General features: G+C 40.6%; 1 long non-coding RNA gene across 2 annotated transcripts in view; it reads right to left on the minus strand.

Annotated features, from left to right (window-relative positions):
• LOC105370739 (uncharacterized) overlaps window positions 1-8570 on the minus strand; it is a 53368-nt gene extending 44798 nt beyond the window's left edge. For both annotated transcript variants that reach the window (XR_932004.3, XR_932005.3), the window contains exons 1-3: window positions 8466-8570; window positions 5484-5566; window positions 15-105 (exon numbers count right to left, since the gene is read on the minus strand). This is a non-coding gene — a long non-coding RNA (uncharacterized LOC105370739). The remainder of the gene's footprint in view (window positions 1-14; window positions 106-5483; window positions 5567-8465) is intronic.
• Between the last annotated feature and the right edge of the window lie 2231 nt (window positions 8571-10801).

Consider the following 10801-nt stretch of genomic DNA (forward strand, 5'->3'; position numbering starts at 1 on the left):
ACGTGTGTACTCACAGACACTTCCATATATGTACACCAGCATAACGTGTGCAAGAATCTTCGGTGGCATGTTTGACATAACCCCAATCCAGAACCCAAGTATTTACTGCAAGTAAAAACACATAAATAAATTGTGGCATATTCATGGGATCCAATATTACACATCAATGGACATAAATAAAATTCTTTCATTCTAAACAGAATAACAAGGTTGAATTTCCATATTTAGGGAGGGAAACAAGGCAAAAAATAGCAAGCAATTCCATCCCTGCAGATCATATGTAGTTCCCAAACAGGCAGAATGATGGGATGATGTGTGTGAGGATATATATGTGAACCCCGAAAACCTGAGACAGGTCTCAGTTAATTCAGAAAGTTTATTTTGCCAAGGTAGGGGACACACCGGTGACATAACCTCATGAGGTCCTGACGACATGTGCCCGAGGTGGTCAGAGCACAGTTTGATTTTATACAGTTTAGGGAAACATGAGACATCAATCAACATATGTAAGATGAGCATTGGTTCAGTCGGAAAAGCCGGGACAATGTGAAGCAAAGGCGGGAAGGCTTGTGGCGGGGCGGGGCTTCCAGGTCATAGGTAAATAAGAGAAAAAACGGTTGCATTCTTGTGAGTTTCTGGTTAGCCTCTCCAAAGGAGCCAATCAGATATTCATTTATCTCAGTGAGGAAAGTAATGACTGTGAATAGTATGGGAGGCAGGTTGGCCCTAAGCAGTTCCCGGGTTAATTTTTCTCTTTAGCCTAGTGATTTGGGAGCCCCGAGATTTATTTTCCTTTCACACATACATAGCTGGTTAAATTATAAATAAAAGCATGCTTTGGGAGGCCAAGGTGGGGGGATCACCTGAGGTCGGGAGTTTGAGACCAGTCTGACCAACATGGAGAAACCCTGTCTCTACTAAAAATACAAATAAAATTAACTGGGCATGGTGGCACATGCCTGTAATACCAGTTACTCAGGAGGCTGAGGCAAGAGAAGCGCTTGAACCCAGGAGGCGGAGGTTGCAGTGAGCCGAGATCGTGCCACCGCACTCCAGCCTGGGAGACAGAGCAAGACTCCGTCTCAAAATAAATAAATAAATAAAAATAAAAATAATAAAAAATAAAAATAAATAAAAGCATGGAGAAGTATTTATCACAAAATCAGTAATAGTGACTTGTAGAGGGAGGGAGAGGATCATAATTATGGAGAGGCCAACAAAAGACCCCTGAGGCTCTGGCAATGAGCTATCTGTGTATGCCATAGGGGTGTGCGTGCATTTCTCGTATATATACACATCCAGGAAAGGAGTGGGCTGGATGGGCTGTGAGAGCTGAAAGGCGGGAGCTGTGATCTAGGGAAGAGCATCAGCACACACCCAGCCCACAGCAACCTCCCAAAGGCTATCAGCCCTACTACACAGGCTTGACTTAGGGTCTAGTATCTGCCTTTTAGAATAGTGAGTAAAATACTCATTCTAGAGTCCTTAATTCTCTTTAGAAATAAACTGACACATCAAATGACATAAAATAAATATGTCACTGCCTTACATCTGCAGATCAAAATACACTTACTGATAACCACATAGAATTAGTCAATAGCACATACATTCTTAGCAAATAATAATTTTTTTGTTGTTGTTGAGATGGAGTCTCACTCTGTTGCCCAGGCTGGAGTGCAGTGGCGTGACCTAAGCCCACTGCAACCTCCGCCTCCTGGGTTCAAGCTATTCTCCTCCTGCTTCAGCCTCCCGAGTAGCTGGGATTACAGGCACATGCCACCACGCCCAGCTAATTTTTTTGTATTTTTAGTAGAGACTGGGTTTCTCCATGTTGGCCAGGCTGCTCTCAAACTCCTGACCTCGGGTGATCTGCCCGCCTCGGCCTCCCAAAAGTGGTGGGATTACAGGCATAAGCCACCATTCCTGGCCACAAATAATAATTTTTATTAGACTTAAAAAAATGTTACTTTCTTCCCAGATAGTACTTTAATGTTTGTCATTTATTCCTTTTAAGATAATGATTTATACTTCCCTTCACTATGCAAGTAATAATTATTTATCCCTTAAATATAGCAAGAAAATGACATTCAATAGTAAATATATAAACTGCCAGCATGCATATTTTTAATAACATTACAACAAGAATCTAAAAGAAATAAATTATTTCTGAATATGACGATTAAATACATTTTGTATAGCTATCATTTCAAATCCTATGAAAGGGATTTAAAAGTAATTTTTAAACATTATTTAAATTTGTTTAAATATAGTAATTTTATTGCTTTGGATATCGAAAGAAGTTGTTAAGCTAATACTTGATTTTTCTCCATACAACTGATAGAAAAGCAGCTGTGGAGTTTTTTGTTTCCATCATAATTCTGGTTTAATTCCATTTTTAACACATGATAACAGCAAATATCTTTTAATGCCCCTGTTTTTTCTTGCCTCAAAGATATTAAGCACAACCAAACTGCTAGTCTGAAAATATTTTTCAATGACGTTTTAACCTCTGTGTTATCATTTGTGTTACATTGTTCTAGTTAGAATGACTGATAAATTATTTTTTAAAAAATCCCAGTTGAAAAAATCTCATCTTTACCATGAGCGTAACTTAGTGAGAAAGCAAATAATGAAACAGTTCAATGAATGAGTGCTGATTCAATTGATATGTATGGGCAAATAAGTATTATGGACATTAAAAATTGTACATTTACTTTACATTTTTTACTATTTATTCAGTAAAAATGGAGGGTGAGACCTATGGGTATACGGGGCACATTTATGGGGATGTGGAGGGCGTGCATTTACTTGAATACCTTACATTCTCAGGGATAGGTGGAGGCAGTGAATATAGTTGTTCATACACATGCTGTTTGGGAGAAGTCATGCTTGCTTCTCAGTCTCATGAAATTGATTTTTCCAAGTTCACTAACTGATCCCTTAATTCTAAAGCTAATGGATACCTCTCAGGGTTTTTCTCACTTTCCTGTTTTTCTTCCCTTCTCTTCCTCTGTTTCCCTGCCTCCCTCTCCTCCTTTTCCTTGCCCTAATATTCTATATCAAGTGTTTCTCCAAATTCGGACCATTTTTTCCTTCAAAGAACCACTCCTTCCCTTTCCCTCCCATCATCCACTGCTTCTGCTCAGACTCTTATCACTTCCAAGCCAACACTGTGGCAGGGGTTTTCTGACTTGAGTCTCCAACTCTGGTCCTGCCTCCTGCAATGGTTCCTCACACTGCTGTCAGACAAATCTTACTAAAATACAGATGGTTCCACATCTTCTATGCATGAACTTCTCCCATGGCCCAGCCATCACAGCAAAATAAAAACCATAAAAAGGCTCTTGTTCTCTCCCTTACTGCTTCATCTTTTTCTACACTTTTCTCACGCATTGTTCCAGCAGGCCTGAATTACCAAGTATTGCTGCCAGTTACCAACTCACCATATCCCAACATAGAACAGCCCTGACACAGGTCCCAGGAGCTACTGTTATTACCTGGGCATTTCAGATAAGGACACTGAAACTCAGAAGAGCCAAATCACTTGTCCAACATTGTACAGTTGTCCTAATGTTGTGGAAGCAACATGCAAACCCAAGGATTAGACCCTAAGGCCATGATCTTTTCCCTTTGCCTTGATGTCTTTTCTGACAGTTTCCTGAAAGGACAGGTGACATCTGTGGCTTTGCACAAAACTATCTCCTCCTTTTTAAGCTAGCTGAGCCCACCCCGGCCCTCTACTCCCTCCCACGTCTGGCCCTTGTGGTGCCCCTTGCCCTCCTTGGTGCTCTGCATTTAGCTTTATCAGAGTGTGCTCAGAAGACCTATTTGTCAGTACACATCTTCCTGCAGCTTTCAGATTTGTGTCCTCAGTGCTGGGGACACTGCTGATGCAGACAACATGCTCCACCGGGGGCTATTTTGTTCCCCTGGGGACATTTGGCACCATCTGGAGCCATTTTGGTTGTCACGATTTCAGAAGAGATGCAATTGCATCCAGAGTGTGGAGGCCAGGGATGCTGATAAACACCCTACGATGGACAGGCAGCTCCTCCAACAGAGAACTGTTGGATCCCAAGTGGTAGTAGTGCTGAGGTCTAGAAAGTCTGGCTAATAGTGTTGCTCTCACCAACTGCAGCCATGCCACAGGGGCTCTTGATCCTCAGTTGTGTGGTGCTATCAGCTTTCTGGACCTTGTTCAGTCACAAAGGACACCTATTTTTCATAAAGGTCACTTTTGTCAGAAAGGCCACCTATCAGTGGACCAATGTACTTAATGGACATTCCATGTTCCCCAAAAATTCCTCCATGTCTGGTAGAGATAAGCACCTGAATGCCTTCTAGAAAATTTATTCAGAAAGGTTTCTGACTCTACCTCTCTCACTTCCTCTAGGTCCGTACACCAGTTTGGTCACTGAATACAGCTGTCCCTAGAAAGGGACCATTTTCTCTCATTGCTTTGAGTAGGAATATGTAAAATCATACTGAGCTATTTTGAAATGTGGGAATTCTGCCTTGATGCTTCCAGAAAAAGGGACTGGTGAAGGAGCGGATGACTGGAGAAAAGATAAACTATAGGAACTGGATGGGACCTGCTGATTTAGGTGGTATAAGAGGAGAAAGGACCCTGGAAACTAAGGAGGAAACACCTTAGACCATGGGTGTTGGTGGCAGTTAACACTCTCTTTGTTCCCCAGATCCAGCAACAATGGCTAAGTCAAACAGTGGCTGCAGCTGACAATCCGACCTGCTCCTGGGTTTGTACCCTGTCTGTGAGCTATGAAGACAATAAGCTCACGTGAACACACCTTCTTGTCCTGATCCTGCTGTGCCTGGTGCCATCAACCTCAGCTCTCAGCTGTGAACATGCACAGACCCAAAGGCCATCCATGTGCGTGTGCTTCTCCACATATCCAAGAGGCCTTGGGATGTGCCACGGGCAGTGACTGAGGCTGCAACAACTCAGTGACATGGTCCATGCAACTTTACCAAACCACTGTGAAACAATGAATCCCAAACTGGAGGGACCTGTGTCTCTTTGGCTTCTGTGTTTGTACGTGGGCCACGGAATGTTGCTCCATTAGAAATGGGCATGCTTTGTGGCCCATCTGTTGCCCCTCTAGTTATTGACAATGACACCAAAGATCAGAAAGTAAATCTAAATACCTTTGAGTGGGTTGTCACGGATAGTAGTCTGACCTTAGACTACATCTTGGCTATCTGAAAAACACTGTATCTCTGGGACTTACTTAAAATTGACTAAATTCTTGGACTGTTGGGAGGAAGGCATAACTGAGGTTGGCTTGACACTTTTTGACCATACCCTTAATTAACTACTGTGTGAGACTAATCAAAGGGCTTCAGTGCCAACATCTTCTGGACAACTGAATCAGAACTGCTGGTAGAACGACATACTCATGTAAAAGTTAGGAGTTAGGGAGAAAATATTTTGGGAAGAGGGGCAAACTGTCTTAAATACTTACAGTTATCTGTCTTCTCTATGTCCCTCTAGAAACATAAGGCATAAATCCTCAGGGGGAAATTTATATTTCATGCTCAGGGGTGCCTTTAAGAACCAAGAAATAAAAGTGACATACATTTTGGAGGACAGCCTCTATGAGAATCATTCTCAAATCATATCACATAGGTTCCCTTCCCATTGAAACCACTGGACCTAGCCTTGCATCTGAATTGTGGATGGAAATGTTGCCGTCTTTTAAAGTTTTGCATTTGGAGAGCAATTGAGCCCTTTGAAGTGGATTCTGATAGATATATGAGGTTTATATTGATATACAGAATCACCCCACTGAGCCAACCTAGATGGAGATGAAAAAAAAAAAAGAGTGATCTTCAATCTAGACTTCCAACCCATTGCTGGAAAGTGGCAGGAAGAGGAAGTGGAGAAAAAGGTGGGATGGGGGACAAGGATCTGAGGAGAAAGGAGATCTGGTTAATACCTGCTATAGTGTGGATGTTTGTGTCCCCAGACTTCATATTGAAATTTGATTCTCAATGTTAGAGGTGGGACTGAAGGAGAGGTGTTTGGGTCATGGATCCTTCATGAATGAAGGGGATGGATCCTTCATGAATGACTTGGTGCCCTCCTCACAGTAATGAGTGAATTATTGCTCTATTTGTTCCTGTGAGAACTGGGTTTTACAAAGAGCCTGGCACCACCCGCCTCTCTCTTGCCTCCTCCCTGACCATGTGATGTCTGCACACATCAGCTCCTTTTTGCCTTTCTTCAGGAGGGAAGCAGTCTGAGGCCATCACCAGGGGCACAGGCTGTTGCCTTGCTTCTTATACAGCCTGAAGAACTGTGAGCCAAATAAACCTCTTTTCTTTATAAATTACATAGGCTCAGGTATTCCTTTATAGCAACACCAATGGACTAAGGTATCATCTAGGAAGGGAGTCAGGACTGTAGTTTGGAGATGAAGGCTGCAAGAAATCTGTAGGTTTGGGAATCTTGTCTAACTTTTATGAGTTTATTTTGTCATTTTATTTTCCTCTCTTTGATTCACTTTAGAGATTAGCATTGCATAGTTTAAGTTAAATAAAAATATGCTTATTTTTAGAAGAGAAGAAAAGCAGGATTGGGAAGATCGTATCCACTTTGGCTTCAGTCTTTGAAGAAGGGACCATCCTCAGGAATGGAGTGGGAGGTGGCAGGTGCAGAGAAGAGAAAAGCAAGTTAAACTTGGCCCTGCAGTGAGAAAGAAAGTGTGGCTGGAGCTGATTTGGCCAGAGAAGTATCACTGGAGATTTTGCTGGAAAGCTGGTGTTTTTCAACATATTCTAGAGGAGCAGTTACCTTTGTGTATACAAATGCTAGTGAATTCCCACAAGGTCAACCAGCGAAAGCCTGTGAGATTCCCTTCCAGATATCTACAAAGAAGTTATTTGTTCTCCTCCCTAAAGGGCAGGTCTTTCCCAAGTCTCTTAGGGATCTCCTCAGCTTTAATACAAGCATGAATTTATCTCACTAGGTAATTGGGCTTGTGGCTGGTCCCTGAGCTACCAATTAGCTGGATTATATGGTTACAAAACAACAGGGCCATTAAGGTTATAGCCTCATAATTTATCAGACACATCTTATATTTTAATTGGAATTTATTTATTGTTTCATGAATGCTGTTGGTAAGGTCCAGACCACACATGAAGCCCTGCAATATCTGTTGTTACAACTCAAGCTTCTATATTTTCTGCGAATCATGTTTATCTCATGGCACTTAACAAAAGTCAATGTAAAAACAGAATTAGTTTGGCCTACCATGGAGCTGTAACCTCCAGTGTATTTGAAGAATTAAATGTGCATCCACTCTTGGTTGCTAATATTGAATGAAGATAGTGAAGAAAATGTAAAGCTACTGAGAAAATCCAGTGTTACTAGAGGGAAAACTAGTTTATTGTACAGAAAGAAATAGCATGATTTATTTCTCCTAAGTATTATTTATTATATTCCTTAATTCCATCTGTGCTTTTTAAATATTAATCATAAAAATGTTAACAAATGTTAAGTGAATTTTAGAGGTTCTCTTAGAAAGAGTTTTTAACATTTTGTTGAAAAGGAAGTCTATAATAAATGTGTGAAGCTATTTTTAGGGATGTCTTTGATGCTGAGTAAGATCTTAACTCACAGAATAATTTTCAAGTGGAAACTTGGCCTGGACATGGGAAGGATGTGAGTCCATTGAGTTAGATCTGTGTAGGACACCCTAGAAGGTCAGTCACAGGCTGGAGTCTCAGCCTTTAATGCAACAGGAATCCAGTCTAAGAGGTTTGGTGATTTAATAAATATTTCTGATACTTTGGATCATAATTAATTTTACTGATTTCTCTAAATCTCATGTTATCTTCCATCATCAGATTATTTAACCAGGTCCAGCATTTAAACCCACTCTTTCTTTCTTTCTTTCTTTCTTTCTTTCTTTCTTTCTTTCTTTCTTTTTCTTTCTTTCTCTCTTTCTTTCTTTCTTTCCTTCTCTCTCTTTCTTTCTCTCTCTCCTTCCTTCCTTCCCTCCCTCCCTCCCCTCCTTCCTTCCATCGTTCCTTCCTTCCTTCCTTCCCCTCTCCCTCTCCCTTCCCCCTCCCCTCCCCTCCCCTCCCCCTCCCTCCCTCCCTCTCTTTCTTTCTCTCTTTCTTTCTTCTTTCTTTCTCTTTTTTTTTCTTTCTTTCTTTCTCTCTCTCTTTCTTTCTTTCTCTGCACTCCATGATTGTCTAGCACAGAACTTTGAACTGAGGGAAGGTTTCTGAGTTAATTAGTATTAATGCATTCACCAGAATGTCCTTGTAACAGTGGGTTGCCTTCTCTGGATCTACACTTGATCTTAGCCAAAAGGCCAAGAAGCAAAGCACTGGATCTATTTTTCTACGTGATAAATGATTTTTTAAAGTTTTTTATGACTATAATCCTGAAATCGGAATCAGAAAATCTGAGTTCAAGTGCTGAGTGTATCATTCACCTGCCATCTGCTCTTGGTCAAGTTACTTCAGCTCCAAATCCCAGTTTCCTCTTCTCTGAAATGAAGCCCACAGTACCCTCGTTCCTGTTGTTAGAATTAAGTGAACTGTACTATCCAGAAGTGCCTGTAAGATGCTTGGGACATAATTTAAACGTCATAGACACTTGTTCAAAGTATCCACTGGTTTCAGCAGCAACATTCTTTACATCAATTCCACTTAGCAACTTGAACACAGAAAGAAACGTAGTTTTAGACTATTAACTCCCTTCTCTTCAAGAATCACATGACATATCAAACTACTGATTTACTTGCTTTTAGATGAAGACACAGAAACACATTTTCTCATTTGGAAGATTGACTAGAGAAAGACAATTTCATTTCTATTTCCCCTTTCAGATTCATTTATCTTTCAAATAGTTACAAATTTCTGCTTGTTCATGATTGCTCCTGTGTAGCACATGGGAGCAATGTGGATCCTTGCAAAATGCCATACCTCAGCTTCTGGTGGTTCTTTGCATTTCTACAGGGTGGTGCTTTCAATAAAGTCTTATTATGCTCCTGCTCCAATGTTCTCACAGCAGTGTTATGAGGGAGGAGGGGTTGTATAATTTCTCTTTTTGGAATGAAGACATTAAAGTACAGGGAGTCTAAAGGATTTTCTAAAATTTATCCGATAAACCATGAGCAGAGAAATAATAATCCACATCTCTTGATTTTCCCATGAACTTACCACTAAATAAAAAAGGGAAAAATAATTTGAACGTTGGTCATCTCATACCACCATTCAACTGTTTAAAATTAAGTGGCCTTTTCAAATAACTGGACCTTGTTTTTCACATTCAAATATGTGAATGTGCATAAACATGAATATATACATAGTGTATGTTTAAGTCTGTATCAATATGACCTACAAAATATTATAATGCATATTCATTATTTAAATTGCCATCCTTAAAAATAGCAAAGCTCAGGTGAGAACACAGTTAAATGGATTACTGAGCTGAGGCAGTATGCACTGAAAAAGAAATCACATTTAGCTCTCCCTTTACTTTTTATAGGTGGTACATAATGCACTTACCCTCTCTGAAAGCTGGTTTCATCATTTGCAAAATTATGGATAATAATGCTGAAAGGGCTGAAGGAGGGACGTGGAATGTGCCTAACAACATTAGAGTATGTAATAGATGCTGAATCACATGTTAGTCTTCTTCCCTTCTTTACTTTATTGTTTCATTTTATTCTGAGACAGGCTCTCAGTTTGTTGCCCAGGCTGAAGTGCAGTGATGAGATCACAGCTCACTGCAGCCTCAGACTTCTGGGTTCAAGTGAGCCTCCTGCCGCAAACTCTCAAGTTCCTAGGACTACAGGTGCATGCCACCATACCCAGCTAATTATTTTATTTTTACTTTCTGTAGAGACATGGTTTCTCTTTGCTGCCCATACTGGTCTTGAACTCCTGGTCTCAAGCCATTCTCCTGCCTCGGCATCCCAAAGTGCTGTGATTACAGGTGTGAGCCACTGTGCCCAGCCCAGTTTTAACTTTTTAAATGGTGAAATGAAGTACACTTACAAAAAAGTGTGAAAACTTAAATGAGTGGTCCAAAAAATCATTACAAAATAACCCACTGAAGTTAGGAAACAGAGTATTGGTGGCACACCAGAATCCTTCCCTGTGCCCTGTGATGGTGTTAGCCCTTCACATCTCCCTAAAGGTGACTTCTATGCTGAGTTCTAACAGTAGACTTAAGTTTTTCCTGCTTTTGAACTTTTTATAAAAAGGGAATTAGACAGTCTGTGTTGTTTTTTGTCTTGCTTTTTTTGATCAGTAATATTATGCTCGTGATATCCATCCACATTGCATGCCACTACATTTCATTCATTTTCATGCTGTATAATGCATATGGTTTGGGGCTATCATGAAAATGCTGCTATAAATGTTTCTGTAGCCTCGACTGTTCCTGCACACAGGCACATTCCTGTTGGGCATGTGGACTAGCATTGCTGGGTCCGATTGGTCCTACACATTTCCAACCAAAGCCGAACAAATAAAGCTTTTTCAGAGTGATTGTACAAGATGCACTCTCAGCAGTAGTGCATGAACATTCAGTTGTTGCACCTCCTAACACTTGTGGCTGTCAGTCTCATAAACTTCAGGCTTTGCAAGTCGTAGTCTCTATTTCAACTACCCAGCTCTGACACTGTAGTACAAATGCAGCCCTAACTGTCCCTAAGTGAGCCATGATGACTGTGTTCTAATAGGTCTTTATGAACAATGAAATTGGAATTACATAGAATTTTCACATGCCATAAAACATTATTCTTCTTTCCAGTTTTTT

This window comes from Homo sapiens, chromosome 15 (assembly GCF_000001405.40).
Source record: "Homo sapiens chromosome 15, GRCh38.p14 Primary Assembly".
In the NCBI taxonomy this organism is placed as follows: Eukaryota; Metazoa; Chordata; class Mammalia; order Primates; family Hominidae; genus Homo; species Homo sapiens.